The sequence below is a fragment of the Homo sapiens genome, chromosome 10 (assembly GCF_000001405.40).
Source record: "Homo sapiens chromosome 10, GRCh38.p14 Primary Assembly".
In the NCBI taxonomy this organism is placed as follows: Eukaryota; Metazoa; Chordata; class Mammalia; order Primates; family Hominidae; genus Homo; species Homo sapiens.
In genome coordinates this window covers 6,928,779-6,948,311 of record NC_000010.11, presented here as the reverse complement: position 1 = coordinate 6,948,311, position 19,533 = coordinate 6,928,779, and the positions used below count along the sequence as shown (strand labels likewise).

The 19,533-nt window shown below is 41.2% G+C and overlaps 1 long non-coding RNA gene across 5 annotated transcripts in view, besides 1 other annotated feature; it reads left to right on the top strand.

The window, feature by feature from the left end:
* LOC105376387 (uncharacterized) overlaps positions 1 to 19,533 on the top strand; it is a 294,200-nt gene that overhangs the window by 170,158 nt on the left and 104,509 nt on the right. For all 5 annotated transcript variants that reach the window (NR_188183.1, NR_188186.1, NR_188184.1 and 2 more), the window contains one exon: positions 12,904 to 13,199. This is a non-coding gene — a long non-coding RNA (uncharacterized LOC105376387). The remainder of the gene's footprint in view (positions 1 to 12,903; positions 13,200 to 19,533) is intronic.
* Positions 13,440 to 14,639: an enhancer, noted in NCBI's record as "BRD4-independent group 4 enhancer chr10:6975635-6976834 (GRCh37/hg19 assembly coordinates)". NCBI's record gives its function as "activates an origin of replication core promoter dependent on BRD2, P300/CBP, MED14 and CDK7 cofactors, and independent of BRD4, by STARR-seq in HCT116 cells {active_cell/tissue: HCT116}" and the evidence as "EXISTENCE:reporter gene assay evidence [ECO:0000049][PMID:35650434]".

Here is a 19,533-nt window from a genome sequence, read left to right as displayed (position 1 = left end):
CTTATGCCTTTTCATCTGCATAGCTTAACTCCCACATATCAGTGAGAACATACGATGTTTGGTTTTCCATTCCTGAGTTGCATCACTTACAACATTAGTCTCCAGTCTTATCCAGGTCACTGCAAATGCTGTGAATTCATTCCTTTTTATGGCTATGTAGTATGCCTGTAAAATATATATATATATATATATATATATATATATATATATATATATATATATATCTCACAGTTTCTTTATCCACTGATTGATGGATGGGCATTTGGGTTGGTTCCACGATCTTGCAGTTGTGAATTGCAGATGGGCATTTGGGATGTTGACACGATGTTGCAATTGTGAATTGTGCTGCTATAAACATGCATGTGCAAGTATCTTTTTCGAATAATGACTTCTTTTCCTCTGGGTAGATACCCAGTAGTGGGGTTCCTGGATCAAATGGTAGTTCTACTTTTAGTTCTTTAAGGAATCTCCACAATGTTTTCCATAGTGGCTGTACTAGTTTACATTCCCACCAGCAATGTAGAAGTCTTCTCTGTTCACTGCAACCACATCAACATCTACTGTTTTTTGATTTTTTGATTATGGCCATCCTTGCAGGAGTAAGGTGGTATCTCATTGTGGTTTTCATTTGCATTTCCCTGATCATTAGTGATGTTGAGCATTTTTTCATGTTTTTGGCCATTCGTATATCTTCCTTTGAGAATTGTCTATTCATGTCCTTAGTCCACTTTTTGATGGAATTGTTTGTTTTGTTCTTAAGCTGTTTGAGTTTGTTGTAGATTCTGGATATAAGTCCTTTGTCAGATGTATAGATTGTGAAGATTTTCTCCCACTCCGTGGGTTGTCTGTTTACTCTGCTGACTGTTCGTTTTGCTGTGCAAAAGCTCTTTAGTTTAATTAGGTCCCAGCTATTTATCTTTGTTTTTATTGCATTTGCTTTTGGGTTCTTGGTCATGAAATCCTTGCCTAAGCCAATGTCTAGAAGGGTTTTTCCAGGGTTATCTTCTAGAATTTTTATAGTTTCAGGTCTTAGGTTTAAGTCCTTAGTCCATCTTGAGTTGATTTTTGTATGACAGATGAGGATCCAGTTGCATTCTCCTACATGTGGCTAGCAAATTACCCCAGCACCATTTGTTGAAAAGGGTGTCATTTCCCCACTTTGTGTTTTTGTTTGCTTTGTTGAAGATCAGTTGGCTGTATTTGGGTTTATTGCTGGGTTCTCTATTCTGTTCCAATGGTCTATGTTCCTATTTTTAAAGCAGTACCATGCTGTTTTGGTGACTATGGCCTTACAGTATAGTTTGAAATCAGGCAGTGTGATGATGCCTCCAGGTTTGTTCTTTTTGCTTAGTGTTGCTTTGGCTATACAGGCTCTTTTTTGGTTCCATATGAATTTTAGAATTGGTTTTCCTAATTCTGTGAAGAATGATCATGGTATTCTAATGGGCTTTGTATTGAATTTGTAGATTGCTTTTGGCAGTATGGTCATTTTCACAATATTGATTCTACTTATCCATGAGCATGGGATGTGTTTCCATTTGTTTGTGTCATTTATGATTTCTTTCAGCAGTGTTTTGTAGCTTTCCTTGTAGAGGTATTTTGACTCCTTTGTTAGGTATATTCCTAAGTGATTTATTTATTTATTTTTGCAGCAATTGTAAAAAGGGTTGAGTTCTTGATTTGATTCTCTGCTTGGTCACAGTTGGTGTATAGAAGAGTTACTAATTTGTGTACATTAATCTTGTATCCAGAAACTTTGCTGAATTCTTTCATCAGTTCTAGGAACTTTCTAGAAGAGTCCTTAGGGTTTTCAATGTAAACAATCATATCGTTAGCAAACAGTGACAGTTTGACTTTCTCTTTACCGATAAACCAGTATTTTAAATACTCTGTTAAACCAAAGACTGCAGCATTGCAGATACATTTGTCTGTGGGGCACCTGTGTGGGACATCCTCGTTGCTGGGAACAATCTTTATACTTGTCTGCATGCCAATGGCAGGAGCCTAAAGAGAGACCAGAAACATTGTCTGTAATAAAAAGCACCAAGTACCATAGAATCATCAAGGAATAAAGTTGGGATGGAATGTCAAGAATTTTTTCAGCCTCCATCCTTATGTGGTTTACATAACGTTGTTATCCATTTTATAGGTTGACAACTGTCCTGAAGTCACACAACTAGAAAATAATGGGTGAGGATTTAAACCTGGATGTCTTGGTTTTTGGCCATAGCCTTTTTTTAATGACACATTGATCTCAGAGTTTTAGAGGTGGAGGATACTGATTTCATGATCAGTTAAGCTAGTAGTTTTCAAACTTCTTTGTGATGGAGAAACCTTTTGTTCAAATAAAAATGTTAACAGAAATACCAGAAATAAATCACTCAGAATGAAACACGGCATTTGTACTCTCCCTTGTCCACTTCTCCATCACGGCCTCTGAAGGGAGATCCGCAAATCCCTAGGGAGCAGTTGGAAACCCATGGCTCAATATCATCAATGGGCAATGAGGGAGCTGAGGTTCTTGGTAGGCAAGGGGGATGGGCTTGGGAATGGGTGTCATTTTTCCAAGGCTGCTAAAATATCTTGGGCAAACTTGATCTAGAACACGCATTGCCAAAGATTCTCCCTAACCCAATAACTTAAGCAGCCTTCTCCCACATATAATGTTTCTAAGACAAAGTCATCTTTGCTTTTATTGAAACCCTAAAGAAAGGAAAATGCTACCCACTAGGCTACTAATTGATATTTATAAAGTAAAAACTCTACCCATATAATCTGTTTTCACAAAACTGCAAATTTTTGTAATAAACAGAGAAGGCATTACATTTTCTTAGAGGTTTTTTTTTTAAGTTTAGAAGAAAATATTTTGGACTTAATAATTTTTATTGTGCACATTTAAGAGAGAGGAGAAGGAGGGTGGGAGAGTGGGAGGAAGGAAGAAGCAGAAAAAGAAAGAGAAGCCATGGAAAATACATTTCCATAACTCCTAGTGTCGTGGCTGCAATTGGGCAGATTCAAGCTCTCTGATGCTGCAGTGTGAAACCCGAGAGAGGACATGGGGTCTGAATTTCTCAACATGCAACTTATCAGCCTCTCAGATCTTATTGTTACAGGAAAGGGGTCCTGATCCAGACGCCAAGAGAGCGTTCTTGGATATCATTCAAGGAAGAATTCAGGGTGAGCCCATAGTACAAAGCAAAAGCAAGTTTATTAAGAAAGCAAAGAGGTGAAGGGACAGCTACTCCATAGACAGAGTAGGACGTTCCTGAAAGTAAGAGGAGGAGCGCATCCACCCTAGGTACAATGCTGGTATATATGGGGAGATGTGTTCTGCTCAAGGGTTTGTGATAAAGGATTGATTTTCTTAATTAATATATTTTGTAAGGATCGATATTATTATATTTAAAGCAAAATTAGGAATGCCTTTATTCTCCAGATATTGGGATATCTGGACACTCCCAAGTCTGGGTCTGTTTAGTAAACATTATTAATTTGTTCCCTTGGCCATAAACATCTGTAGAGGCTAGGAAGGCCATACTTTCTGATAATGCAGCCCAGGAAGCAAGTCCCAGCCTCATTTTCCAGCCCCACTCAAAAGGGAGTCGCTCTGGTTCAAATGCCTCTGACATTAAGTCTTTGGCTGGAGATCCAAGATTTGATGCCTTCATTTGATGGCTCCCCTTCAAGGTTCTTCCTTCCATGGGAATCAGGGGTTTGTTAATCCTTTTGGAAAGAGTTCGTTTTCCCATTAGTTTTGCCCGTGTTGATTTGCTCAGTCATGGTCATTCTTCAAGACAAAATGATTACTGGCAACTCTCAGAATTCTACTGGGATCATGAATTTCTTCTGAAACTCCAGTACATTTACGTACATCAAAACTCATAAGTCTTTGTAACTTTCCCTTTAGGAGAAACTCAAGCATTCTCTTCAATTAAAAATAAAAATTTAAACACTGCCCCTGAAAATGTAAGATTAGGGTGAGGGCAGTTTTCTTTCTGTGTGATGCTTAGTTACCAGGGGAGGTAATAAGCCCTTTCTACTGTCACCTTTTGCTCCTTGCTCCTTCTCCAGGGTGAACAACATGAACAATAAAGAGGTTCTCATTGCTAATAGTCTCATCCATCAGCTTGTACCTGTATATGCAGGTTAGAGCTTAAGGTGGGATGTTAGGTTGAAGAAGCGATCTTTCTCTTTCTCTGAGGGCTTTTATTGCCTTTCATTTTTTAAGTGGGCGAAAGGTTTTCAGTCCTGTAGGAATCTTTTTGAGCTTGCTTCTTTCTTTGTTCCTCTTCATTCTCCTGAGGTGGGCCAGGGAAGAGGTGATTGAGAGGAGGATCTTAATGAAGAAGAGAATCATTCTAATTCTTCAAACTCTTTAGTCTCGGCCTAAGAAACAAGATATTGCTGCTTTCTTTGAAGATGTTTAAAGCCTTTCCTATAGTGATTGCAGGTCTTTGTGGGCAGAAGCAATGGTGTTTACAAGTAACATCTTCTAGGCTGCAAAATACTGCAAGTGGCAGAACAGGGAGGTTCTTAGTCTTTCTTTATTGGCTCTTACACTGGGACTCTTTTTTTTTTTTTTTTTTTTTTTGAGACAGGGTCTTGCTCTGTTGCTCAGGGTGGAGTGCAGTGGTGCAATCTTGGCTCACTGCAACCTCTGCCTCCCGGGTTCAAGCAATTCTCCTGCGTCAGTCTCCCGAGTAGCTGGAATTACAGGCATCTGCCACCACACCCGGCTAATTTTTGTATTTTTAGTAGAGATGGGGTTTCACCATGTTGGCCACACTGGTCTCGAACTCCTGACCTCAAGTGATCCACTCATGTCAGCATCCCAAAGTGTTGGGATTACAGGCGTGAGCCACTTGCCTGACCACTGTGACCTTTTTTCTTTTTTCTTTTTTTTTTGACAGAGTCTCACCCTGTCGCCCAGGCTGGGGTGCAGTGGTGCAGTCATGGCTCACAGCAACCTCCGCCACCCAGGTTCAAGCAATTCTCCTACCTCAGCCTCCCAAGTAGATGGAATTACAGGCATATGCCACCACACCCAGCTGATTTTCGTATTTTTAGTAGAGATGGGGTTTCATCATGTTGGTCAGGCTGGTCTTGAACTCCTGACCTCAAGTGATCTGCCCGTATCAGCTCCCAAAAGTGCTGGGATTACAGGCGTGAGCCACGGTGCCCAGCCCCTGTGATTTTTAACTCAGCTTTTACTCAATGGCGTAGGAAAAAACAAACCATTTAACAAATGCAAGTGCCTCATCTGAGCCAGGTGGGCTTGTGTTGGCTGCTGGGGGAACAGTGGCAAACAACACAAACTTAGAATTTGACTTTGCATACGTTATGTCTATTAGGGAAATAGATGTTAAAAGTAATTTCATGGGATGTTAGGGACAATTTAGGATAAGAGGAAGATTTTGGAAGTGAGTGATCCTCGACCTCTGTAAACCATACATGGTATTCAGAAATACTTTTAAAAATCTAAAGTACAAAAACATCAAAAGGTTGATGCAACAATGCAGATGAGAAGGAATCCAGGTGGGAGCTGGGGCTGATCACCGGTTCTAATCTTCCTAAATTAAACACGATGTGAGAACACATGTTGGGATCAGGGAAAAATCACCATGGCGATGTGTGATGCCAAAGGTTGCGCTTGGAAGAAACCACGCTGCTCTCCTGAGAGAGAAGTGGTTAATACTACAGGTGCTTCGAGAGTTCTCCTCGAAAACATGCCTACTTAGAAATTAAGTGTGTTTAGGAGTTCCCGTACTTCAAATAGGTAAGGTAGTTCAGTGCCGTTATTCTATCATAACCCAGCCAATGGTGAGGTGAAATGATTTTGTTCTTTTTTTAAAAAAGAAATCGACCAGGCACGGTGGCTCATGCCTGTAATCCCAGCACTTTGGGAGGCCGAGGCGGGTAGATTACAAGGTCAGGAGATCGAGAGCATCCTGGCTAACACAGTGAAACCCTGTCTCTACTAAAAATACAAAAAAATTAGCCAGGCATGGTGGCGGGCACCTGTAGTCCCAGCTACTTGGGACGGTGAGGCAGGAGAATAGCGTGAACCTGGGAGGTGGAGCTTGCAGTGAGCCGAGATCATGCCACTGCACTCCAGCCTGGGCGACAGAGCAAGACTCTGTCTCAAAAAAAAAAAAAAAGAAAAAGAAAAAGAAAGAAAACATGCCTTATAGAACTTTACAATGAGGAAAGATCTCAGAGACGATCTGTTTCCATTTCTCTCTGAGTGCATCCAACTCTGCTATGCTGTTTCCCTCCACAACCTGTGCTTGACAATAAGATTTCTAATACAAATAATAACTGTAGCTAACATGTAAATAGTGCTCTATGTGCCAGGCACTGGGCTGAGCACCTTACATGCCTTATCTTAGCAAAAATGCACAAGAAGTCTCTTTTTTATCTTTGTGTTATAGATTAAGTATCAGTTGCAAAGAGTTTCACACCTGCAGGGAAGTGATAGGTGGGCATTTGCCTGATTCCAGAGTCTGATCCACATGACTACCTGATGTGTTCTCTCATCTAACTAATTTAATTTTAGTTTTTCTGTTAAACAATTTCAACAAACGTGATGGGAATTTAACAGAGAGGGGACAACATAGGAATCAAGCTCAGTAGGGTTATAATACAACTAAGCCCAAAAGGTTGGTCCCAAATTCACCAATAAAGAAGATGGGGCTGGGCATGGTGGCTTATACCTGTAGTCGCAGCACTGTGGGAGGCTGAGGAGGGCATATCACCTGAGGTCAGGAGTTTGAGACCAGCCTGGCCAACATGGCAAAACCTCGTCTCTATTAAAAATACAAAAATTAGCCAGGTGTGGTGGTGTGTGCCTGTAACCCCAGCTACTTGGGAGCCTGAGACATGAGAATTGCGTGAACCCAGGAGGCGGAGGTTGCAGTGAGCCGAGATAGCACCACTACACTCCAGCCTGGGCAATAGAGTGAGACTCCATCTCAAAAAAAAAAAAAAAAAATGGATGAAACATGACAGTCTCACCAGGCACCTCCTGCACTGGCTCCCAGAATGGAGTCTTTACATTTAACCATAGCTGTAAATGTGTCATTTTACCCCTGGCTGATGAAAGGTTGAGAAAGGGAAAGGAGACTCCCAGAACAGGTGCCTAGAAGAGGAAATAAAAGAGGTCAGAATCACCAATGTCTGCAAGAGGCTTGAGAGTTGTGTGAGAGAGACCTTTAGATGGATCTTGTGTTACATTTAGAGAGGAGGAATCAGGAAGGAACATAATATAACAGTAACAACATGACTAGCTTGGCTTCATCAAGGAGTTTTGAAGATAAGAAATTGTGCTTGTCTTTCAATTTCATTTTAATCTCTGAAAGAGATAATCATGCTGCTACGGCTCATCTCAGTCTGTAATGGGAAAGAAGTCCTGCTGGAGGTCAGTGAAAGAGCTGTTATGGAATGAAATGTGTCAACTGACTCCTCTACGGTCATATGTTGAAGCCCTAACCTCCAGTACCCTAAGATGTGACTATTTGGAAACAGTGTATTTACAGAGGTAATTAGGTTAAAATGAGATTATTAGGGTGGACTCTAATCCAAAATGACTGGTGCCTTTATGAGAACAGGACATATGGGCACAGACACCTCCAGAGGGAAGACAGCATGAAGATACAGGGAGAAGACAGCCATCCACAAGCCAATGAGAGATGCTTCAGAAGGAACCAACCTTGTTAACACCTTCATCTTGGACGTCCATCCTCCACAATTGTGGGACTATAAACGTCAGCTGTTCAAGCCACCCTGTCTGTAGTACTTTGTTAGGGCAGCCCTGGCCAACTAATACTAATACAACTAATTCTCAGCTTTTTTCCCTTGAATCCTTATTCATGTTTGTTCATCTGCAGCTGAGCTGTCCCATACAGTAGCCATCAATTACACTATGTAAATTTAAGTTAATTAGTATTAAGTAAAATTAGAAATTCAGTTGCGCTGGTTATATTGGATAGACTCAGTAGCCCCATGTGGCTAGTGGCTACTCCACCAGACAGCACAGATTTAGAACATTCCCATCTTCAGAGAAAGTACTATTGGATAATGTCACTTAAGGCTAGATTTGATTTACTCTTACAGTGTAACTCAAAGAGGAAGAAGATGCAGAGGCTAGAACCAAATTGAATATGGAGTAAAATTTTAAGAAATGGACTGGGAGGATTATGTGCGAGGTATAGTTTAGCTTACTCCAACACAAGGAATTGCAAGAAGAGGAGAGAGAGAGAGAATATGTGTGTGTGTGTGTGCGCGTGTGTGTAAGGGGGCTATTCCTTTATGAAGTCACATGTTACCTTGAAATAAACTTTTTAAAATGGTTTTTTTAGAAACAGGGTCTTGCTCTGTCGCTCAAGCCAAAGTTCAGTGGCGCAGTCAGAGCTCCCTGCAGCTTTGAACTCTTGGGCTCAAGTGATCCTCCCGCCTCAGCTGCCCAAGTCACAGGGACCACAGGCATGTGCCACCGTGCCCAATTTGAACTGACTTTCTAAGCCTCCATGTCTCTCAGCTCCTGTTCCTGATTATCCATCCTCAAGGTCCTAATTAAATTCTTAGTGTGATTCATTATTTCAGGCGAGTCAATTCCTGCAAATATATTGCAAGGATTTCAACTACATCCCTTAAGTGTGCAACTAAATCCTAAATTCTAATAGCAGGGGAACAGCTGAACCTCCATTTTAAATGAAGAGTGAAAAAATGGATTTGAAAGGGTCAGTGAATTCCCACACAGTGGTTTCCTGGGATAATGCATGTGTGTTCATGCTCTTACGTGAATTATGGGTCAGGAAGGCAGAAATATTAACCAAATTGGAACAAAATTTGAAGAGTGAATAGAGGGGAAGGAGAGAGTTTCAGGTGGGAATTGTACTGGTGGATTAATTATCTCAGAAAACTCATAACATTTAAGTGAATTTCCTGAAGACTGAAAAAAGGGAACTTCTCTGTGAGTTCCCAGAAAGGGATTTGAATGAACCTGAGGCTGATATGTGAAGAGGACCCATCTATTACTAAAAATATGCAATAAATTTAACAATTCAAAAGGAACAAGAGAGGCACATGAAAAATGAACACAGGGAATTCACATAAAGAAGTAAGCATGGCTTCCCCCTGATTTGTTAAGCGACCCGGTTGTCTTCTTCCTTAAGAAGAATTTTACCTAGTGTCAGGTTAGTGCAATACATAGGTTGGACATGGCTTATGTGGAAGTGGGAATGTATGGAAGGATTTCAGAAAGGAAGGAGTTCCCCTCACTCACACAATGGGCTCAGCCTGCTCTGCATAGGTTTGCAATAGAAGGAGTTCTCAGTGTGTTCAGACTCTGTCCCTCCTGAGATCTTTCTAGCCTTTCCTAACCAGCACCTAATGGCATAGGCCACTGGTTCTAAAATGCCAGTGTGTTGATAAATGTTTAATAACCAGTTCTTGGGGGCAGAAGGACAAGAAGCCTTGATTTGTAGCATTTGCCAATTTCCATGGTGTACATATTCTCACCCTGGCTGACTTCAACTGCCAACATGAGATCACTGAACACAGAGCTGGGAAGCATATTCCAAAGCCGATTCTCTAGTACTGACTGAGTGTCTTGAAATTTGATTCAGTTCTGACACTGACTTCCTGGAGTTCATGCAAACCCCGCAAGTTAAGGGCAAAGTTCTTCACAAGGCTGTCCCCACTTCAGAAGGCAGACGTACATTTCAGACATCCCCAAACCACCTGCACTTCTGCTCAGCTGACTACAAATGTGGAGCTTTTCATTCCTTCCCAGGTTTGATAATTTATGAGAATGACTTGCAGAACTGAGGAAAACGCTATACTGATGACTGCTATTTTACTATAGAGAGCACAAATGAACAGCCAGGCGAACAGGTACAGAGCCCAAAGTCAAGGAGGATCCCAAGCACAGAAGCTTCTGCTCCCATGCAGTTGAAGTGTGCTGCTCTCCCTATATATATATAATGTTCACCAGTCAGAAAGCTCCCCTGGTCTTTTGTATCCAGAGTTTTTATATGGGATGTCATTATATAGGTGTGATTGATTACTTCATTAGCCATTTGATTAAATGCAATTTCCGGTTCCTCTCCCCTCACCAGAAGTCAGAGGTCCGGCTGAAAGTTCCAACCCTCCAATCACATTTGAGGTCTTTCTGGTTTGCCCCCCACAACTCTCCTACCCCCATATGCTCCCTTGCCTCCCAACCGTGTAAGAGCCCACCAGGAGTCACCTTATTAGCATAAACTCAGGTATGATCTAAAGGTGCTTATTATGGAATAACAAAAGACATGCCTGTCACTCAGGAAATTCCAAGGGTTTTTGAAGCTGTGTGTCAGGAACCAGGTTAAAGGCCAGATGTATCCTTATTCTATCCCTGTAAGAGCGTAGGCTCTTTGCCCTTGGGAGCTGGTGTGAGTCGGCTCCAGCATGTCCACTTGACTTTGGATTCTTCTGGAAAGGTTTCAAAAACACTGATTTCTGGGTCTCACCCTCGAGGGTCTGCCTTAATTAGTATGGGGTGCAACCTGGGCCTCACAGTTTTAAAGGCTCGCAGAATATTCCAATGTGCAGCAAATGTACAGATCTGCACTGCCCTTCCCTTCCCTAGAGCCAAGAAGATGGGCCTCTCTCCACACTCCCTAGGGTATAAACCCAAAAGATGAAGAAGCGGAATTAACCTTTTTGGTCTTCTGGGAGATAAGGCAGAGTTTAGCGGGATACCCCCAGCACTATTTAGGAACAGCCATCCTGTTCCCCCTATTGGTGTTTCAAGGAGACCAGGCTTGGCCTGTTTACATAATTCTTTTAGTTGGGTATCTCCATGATTCCTTCTTCCAGGTTCTTCAAGTCTCTACCTATGTGTCACTTATCAATACAACTTCCCTGGTCACTCTTATTTATCTCCATCACATTTGTTGCCATGTGACATATTTCACACACACAAGCACACACACACATACAGTCTCTCTCTCTCTCTCTCTGTCTCTCTCTCTCTCTGTTTAAATAGAAAGTGCCTGGAATATGAATAGCAGTGTTTACCAGTGCCTGAGAGGGCAGTGTTATTGCTGTCATTATCATTTGTATTCTGAAGAATAAGAACCTAGGCTTCCTGGGAGTCAGTTAAGATCTGATTGACATGAGATTTCTGAGTTTGTCATTCTAAGTCAATGGAGCCAATTAAGTCAATAAAGTCAATTCTCAGGAGGCTTAAAGCATTTGCAAAAGTATGTTACATTCTACAAGACTTTAGCTGGCTTAGTGGGAAGGATATGGTTTTGGGAATGTGATACTAGAAGAGAATTCCTCAGGCACCATTTGTGTGTTCCCCTGTAATCCTTCTCTGGGAGGAGACAGAAGGGTATGTGGAACTGTTAAATTAATTGAGCTAGAAGTTCAAAATTCTTCATCCTAATTAAGAACTCTGAAAACTAGAAGAGTTTAAAGATTGATAATGCTTGCATCTCTCTGAGAAGATAATCAGTTATTGTATTAGTCCATTACTGTTGCTATAACAGAATATCACAGACTGGGTAATTTATAAAGAAAATAAATTTATTTCCTTCAGTTCTGAAGGCTGGGAAGTCCAAGGTCAGGCAGCTCATTCTGGTGAGGGCTTCAGGCTGCATCATAACATGGCAGAAGGCATCACAGGGCAATAGGGCATGCAGGAGAGGGAGTCAAACTGTCTTTTATAACAGACTCATTCTGGTGACAGCTAAGCCAGTCCTGTGATAATCCATTAATCCATGAATAGATTAATCTATTAACCACCTCTTAAAGGCCCTACCTCTTAATACTGTTACATTGGGCATTAAGTTTCAACATGAGTTTCAGAGGGGACAAACATTCAAACCGTAGCTGTTACACTTCCCAAATAACGATCCAGGGATGATTCTGAAAATTCTGCTGCAGATCTGTTGTTACCATTCATTCATCCATCCATTCATTCATGAATGCCTGTGTCTATTCAACCAAGGCCTAAAGATGACCTACAAAGACTCTGCCCTCTACTAAGCACTGGTGAGTGAGACCGTGCATTCATGGAGCTTACCATCTAGAAGAGAGCTAGGCATTAGACAAGTAAATACTTGAAGTATTTAATTAAAAATGTAATTATGCACAAGGAAGAAAGATGGGATTTTGTAGGATTGCAATTAAGCGACATAACCTAACCTTGGATTAGGGAAGTTTTGCTGAAAAAGTGACATGGTAAGCTGAAATTTAAAAGATGAGTGGAAGCTGGCATTGATTATGGTCTTCTAAAAATTATTAAGCTTGATTCTCTAGCTGATGGATAAAAATGTATGTTGTGCATAATAGCACAAAATTTAAGCATGCCCACTACAGAAGGGACAAAGAACACATTTTATTATATTTGTCATTCTGTAAAGCCAGAAGAAAAGAATTGAGTTGAGTAATATTTACCCACTGAACAGATACAGTCATCCCTCAGTATCAGTGGAGAATTGGTTCCAGGACTCCTGTGGACACTAAAATCTGTGGTTGCTCAAATCCCTGAAATAAAATGGTGTATAGAAAATGCATATAACTTATGCACATCCTCCTGCACATTTTAAATTATCTCTAGATTACTTACAGTACCTGATACAATGTAAATGCTATAGATATGTTGTTATACTGTATTTTATTTGGGTTATTGTTTTATTGTTGTTTTTATTGTTTTTGTGTTTTTGAATATTTTCCACCTACAGTTGGTTGAATCCATGAATGTGGAACCCATGGACACTGAGGGTCAACTGAACACACAGATGATCCCTGACTAATAATGGTTCAACTTAGATTGTTTGACTTTATGATAGTGTGAAAAAGATATGTATTTAGTAGAAAGCATACTTAAAATTTTGAATTTTGATCTTTTTTCAGGGTAGTGGTATGTAGCTGTAGTGGTATGTGCTCTCTCTCAATGCTGAGCTGCAGCTCCCAGTCAGCCACTGGATCATGAGGGTAAAATACGGATACTTGACATCTTCTTAAAGAACATCATGCCTGCTAAGCCATCCAGTTTGGATGCCCCAGTGCCTTCCACCAGCCATTCTCAAGCCTCATTAGAAGAGAGAGATTGATGACCCTGTAGCTGCAGCATCCCATCATCCTGCATTTTAGTTCAATGCTTCAAACGTTCTTCAGGCCCAGTGTGCTTTCAGCTGTGTATGTTAATGGTGAGTACCCAGGTGATCATATTTTTTCAGTTTCACTACAGTGTTTAATAAATAACATGAAATATTCAATACTTTATTATAAAAATAGGCATTATGGTGGATGATTTTGCTGAACTGTAGGCTAATGTAAATGTTCCAAGTACATTTAAGGTAAGTTAGGTTAAGCTATGATATTTGATAGGTTAGGCGTATTAAGTGCATTTTCAAGTGATGATATTTTCAACTTCAAATGGGTTTATTGGGACATAGCCTGTCTTTGTCCATTTGTATTGCTATAAAGTAATATCTGACGCTGGGCAATTTATAAAGAATAGAGGTTTATTTTGGCTCATGGCTCTGCAGTATGTACCGGAAGCATGGCATCAGCATCTGCTCCTGGTGAAGCCTCAGGAAGCTTCCAATTATAGCAGAAGGTAAACAGGGAGCCAGCATATCACATGGTTAGAGAGAGAGCCAGAGAGGGAAGAGGAGGTGCCAGGCTCTTTTTAACAGTCAGCTCTCACATTAACTAACACAGTGAGAACTTACTCATTAGCATGAGGATGCCACTGAGAGGTGAAGCTGGCTAGGATTCTGGTTCGGATGGGGACTTGGAGAACTTTTGTGTCTAGCTAGAGGATTGTAAATGCACCAATCAGTGCTCCGTGTCTAGCTAAAGGATTGTAAATGCACCCATCAGCACTCTATAAAGTGGACCAATCAGCACTCTGTAAAATGGACCAATCAGCAGGATGTGGGTGGGGCCAAATAAGGGAATAAAGGCTGGCCACCTGAGCCAGCAGGGGCAACACACTCAGGTCCCCTTCCACGCTGTGGAAGCTTTGTTCTTTTGTCACAATAAATCTTGCTGCTGCTCACTCTTTGGGTCCGCACCACCTTTAAGAGCTGTAACACTAACTGTGAAGGTCTGCGGCTTCACTCCTGAAGCCAGCGAGAGCGAGACCACGAACCCACCGGAAGGAAGAAACTCCGGACACATCTGAACATCTGAAGGAACAAACTCCGGACACACCATCTTTAAGAACTGTAACACTCACCACGAGGGTCCACAGCTTCATTCCTGAAGTTAGCAAGACCAAGAACCCACTGGAAGGAACCAATCCCAGACACAGCACCATAAGGGATCCACCTATGACAGAAACATCTCTTACCAGGTCCCACCTCCAACGTTGGGAATCACATTTCAACATGAGATTTGGAGAGGACAAGCTATCCAAACCATCTCGGAGTCCCATGGTGAGTGGAGGAACATCTGAACTGAGACTTGCTATGGAATTCAAATAGGTTTCCACATTTTTACCTGAAAGAGGTATTAAAATAGAAATGTTATTGGCAATTTTGATTTTTTTAAAATTACATGGTTGTCTTTATTATCTTTAATTGATAGTTCAGCAGTAGTTTCTTTGTTGATATAAATTTAGGATGTAGTGTGTCTCAAATTTTGGAAAAATACGCAAGAAAAAGCAGCATAGACATGAGAAAGGAAAAGACAATTTTCTCTCGGTAACCTCAGACACAGGCGAGATATGGCAAAGGATACTATATGGGCTTGAAAGTTTCACGATTCAATAGAGTTTCACCTAATAAAGCGTGATTTGATCTGAACACTACAGGGGCTGGGGTAGAGAAGAGCACTAGGCAGACCCAGCATAAGAGGGAAGAGAAAGACTCTTCAGCGTGAAGAGCCTGAGGGTGCAAAGTACACTTTTGTAGCAATGGTCTGTGCATGGCTCTGGCTATTACAAATCTATTTTAATGTCCATAGATTCTGCATCTTTTAAAAAAGAAAAATAATAAGAAAAAGAAAAATACGCTGGTTGCTCAGACACAAGTGAACAAAGATGCAGATCAGCTATTTAAGTAGGTTGACACACGGCACGTGAGATTTAATTTTGACAATTTCTACTTTGCAAACTATTGTTGCAAGGGAGTGGAGAAGAGGAAAAATGGAGAAAGCACTTCATGGATGAAAGGGGACGCAGTCAGAGTCTATAAAAGGGGTCCCAGAGCCATGGAGCTACCTTCTGTAAAAATGCTTCACGACCCGGCGCGGTGGCTCACTCCTGCAATCCCAGCACTTTGGGAGGCTGAGGCGGGTGGATCACGAGGTCAAGAGATCGAGACCATCCTGGCCAACATGGTGAAACCCGATCTCTACTAAAAATACAAAAATTAGCCAGGTGTGGTGGCGGGCGCCTGTAGTCCCAGCTACTCAGGAAGCTGAGGCAGGAGAATCACTTGAACCTGGGAGGCAGAGGTTGCAGTGAGCCAAGATTGCACCACTGCACTCTAGCCTGGCGACACAGCGAGACTCCGTCTCAAAAAAAAAAAAAAAAGCTCCCAATGGAGGAAGCACTGGGATAGCTGAGGAATGCAGGAGAGACAACTATTGTTTCTGAACAGTAGCAAAGAGAAAAATATTGAGTTTAGAGTGTAAGCATCTGTAGAAGATCAAGCAAGGGAATAAATGCAATGGCATCATTCAACTTTAGGAACTCTGAGGATATTTGACCAATTTCTGACTTTTTTTTTTTTTTTGAGACAGAGTCTCACTCTGTCGCCCAGGCTGGGGTGCAATGGTGCAATCTTGCCTCACTGCAACCTCTGCTTCCCGGGTTCAAGCAATTCACCTGCCTCAGCCTCCAGAGTAGCTGGGATTACAGGCATGCACCACCACACGTGGCTAATTTTTGTTGTTGTTGTTGTATTTTCAGTAGAGATCAGGTTTCACCATGTTGGCCAGGCTGGTGTTGAACTCCTCACCTCAGGTGATCCACCCACCTCAGCCTCCCAAAGTGCTAACATTACAGGTGTGAGCCACCATGCCCAGCCCCATTTGATTTTATAAGCAAAATTATATCTAGTTCTAAATTATTCCAGACTAATGGGTATTTACTATATCCTTGCATGCCAGCATATAAAATGTGCTTAGCGAGACAGAAAGTGGTTAATAATTCTTCCAACCTTGATGCAAAGATGGTGAGGACAGAGTTAAGAATAACTAACATTTATATGGGACTTACCATGTGCCAGGCATGGTTTTGAGTGTTTTATGTTAATTTACTTACACCATATTCTTTTTTTTTTTTTTTTTTTTTGACAGGGTCTCACTCTGTTGCCCAGGCTGGAGTGCAATGGCTTGATCATGGCTCACTGCAGCCTTCACCTTTGGGGCTCAAACAATCCTCCTGGCTCAGCCTCCCATGTAGCTGGGACCACAGGCATGCACCACCACACTTGGTTAATTTTTAATTTTTTTTTGTAGAGACAAGGTCTCACTTTGTTGCCCAGGCTGGTCTTGAACATCTGAGCTCAAGCCATCCTCCCATCTCAGCCTCCTAAAGTGCTCGGATTACAGGTGTGAGCCACTGCACAGCCACCACTTTCTAATATTAAAAGGGATGGATTGCGATTTTCCCTATTTTATGTTTGCCCAAATTGATATATTAAAAGGCTACCTTTTTCTCAAGGTCAGAGAGCCTAGTGGCAGAGCTAGGATAAACCTGAGAAATCTGACTCCAGAGTTTAATTCTTTTTTTTTTTTTTTTTTTTTTTTGAGATAGAGTCTTGCTCTTGTTTCCAGGCTGGGGTACGGTGGCATGATCTTGGCTCACTGCAACCTCCACCTCCCAGGTTCAAGCGATTCTCGTGGCTCAGCTTCCCAAGTAGCTGGGACTATAGGTGCCCGTCACCATGCCTGGCTAATTTTTTGTATTTTTAGTAGAGATGGGTTTTCACCATGTTGGCCAGGCTGGTCTCGAACTCCTGGCCTCAGATAATCTGCCTGCCATGGCCTCCTAAGGTACTGGGATTACAGGCATGAGCCACCACGGCTGGCCCAGAGTCCAATTCTTAACCATCACGCCATGTTGTCTCCTTCTGATACAGCAGAGCCCATTCTCCCATATTGGTAACATTTTCCTTAGAATATCAATGGACAGGTCTATCTGCACAGTGACTCAAGTGCAAAAACTGGAGCTTCTTCCACACTTTAACACATTACAATGCCAGTGAAAATAGGCATCTATTCCTGTACCCTTATGTATCTCACATGTCTTTATAGAATTGGGTTGACAACTTGGAACCATTCTAAATTCTGAACATTCTAGAACATTCCAATTCTGCGTTATGTGTCATCCAGCAGATGAGGAAAGAAAATCAAAAGCTTTAGGATGATAAATTCCTTTATTATCTTGTCCCTTAACTTCTATCTTCTGACCTAACTTCTAGGAACAACTCTCCTCTTGTACTGTACGCAATAGTTCTACTTAAAGACTGTTCCATGAAAGGAACAAGCTCTCATGACTCTCCATGCCTTCACCAATGGGCTAATTGCTGAACACATTCACTAGTTTTTTTTTGGAGAATATAAATTACTGTGGTCAGTAATCAAAAGCCAATGGACAGTGTTTCTCTTGAGTGGCTGTATTACCAATCATGCTTTATTTTTATTCTCCTTCCTTCCTTCCATAGGGGAGGAAAGACTTTTTCTCTCTCCTGTTAGGTTCTGTGGTTGGTCCTGAGAATTAAATAGACAAAAGACAGGTTAATAGGAGGGAAAGCATACAAATGTTATTTGATACTAATGTGTTTATGTGTATATGGGGCCTTTCATATGTAAGAAATGAGAATTCAAAGAGGTGAAAAGGCACAAGAACCTATATATCATTTTAACAGATAATAATAAATTATGGAGACATGGACAGTCAAGGGAGAAAGGGGTTTGGGTTTGGGGAGGCAAACCATGGGACAGTTACTAAGAAATACATAGGGAAAATTAATGGAAGGCAAATATAATTTTAGTAGGCTTGTTTGTATGGATTCATCTCAGCTTCGACTCCCCATCTCTGACAAAAATTCTCTCCTCTTCCTGGCACCTGGGGGGTACTTTTCTTACAGAAAATTTATGCCCCACTTTTATATACATAGAAAGTGGGGAGACAGCTCTTCCTGGATCTGCTATTTCTCAATCATCTTCAGCTCTAAATAATCTTCCTGGATCTGCTGTTTCTTGATCATCTACAGCTCAAAATAATCAATGTCCCAAAATAATATATTTTGGGGTGGCATACTATGACCCCTTTCACGTGTTTTCTTCTCATCTTTTTCTTCCTTTCTTTCATTCTTGTCCTTCTTTCATCTTTTTTCTCTTTTCTTTTTTCTATTTTTTGTAGCCTCTGGTTGTTTTTACATCACATTTTAACTAAATAAAGCAATAAAACTGTTTCTTCTGATTGTTTTTGCAGCAAGTATTCATCACATTTATAACTAAATAAGACACTAAAATGATTTCCATCTTGAAGAAAAAAGTGCTTCAAAATAAACACAATGATACCTTAAAATTGAACCACAATTTCTACCTGTTTCTCTTCCAATTGTTTGTTGAGGTTTCTGATGAGAATCGCTGGGTTGGCTTGGCAGAGAGACAGATCCTGAAGCATCTATTTCTGTTTTCTGCTTCTGTTTTGGCTCGAATTCTGGGTCTACCAGTAGTCTAAATGACCTCCACTTCCTCACTTTGACTCTACATACGTCTGACTGGCTGTGTTTGAGCCTGCCATACAAACAGAGGTGTGCAGTTCTCTTTAAACACCACTGTTCCATATATTTTCTTTCATACGATATTGAGTTAGACTCAGCAACCACCCCAATTATTCTGCCAGTTTTTCTTTATTATGCTTGACAACTACTTGGTGAGAGAATGGATTTTTCTTTGTGAAGTCAGCACACAGCCGCCGGTTGATTCTCTGAGAGAACAAGATATTTCACGAGTAACTGGATAAATGGGCCAACCTGACAGGACAGCAGGCCCTTGCCTCCAACAGTGCAAGAGAGCCTCTGTCAAGAGACCATGGCATTCCTCCCGTTTGGGAACTGATGACAGGATGGCTACAGTAAGCTGCAGCCAGATATTCTGCTAAGGAAACGAATAAGCAGAGAGATGAATATTTTGTATGCTTCCCATGTGTTCAGCTCTATCAGGCAGTCTCTCACACTTTATCTAATACATCTTCTCTGCTCTTCTTGACATAAAATTATCTTAAATTTTTACATGCAGAAAACTTATATATAAGGAACTAAAAAAATTAATCTGTTTAAAAGTTATACAGTGCGCAAGTGAGAAGCCAGATTTCAAAGAGAAACCAAACCTCTTGGAAACTTTGAAGGCCGACAGCATGGAGGTGGTTTGAGTGGACCCCAAACGGATGTGAACTGCCTCCTGACACTGGCCCAGTAAATGACTGGTTGTGGTGTACTGAGATAAACACTTTTAATTATTTTAAATATGAAGTAAAATCTAGAAAAAAATGTCCAGCAGAAAAAAAAAAAAAAA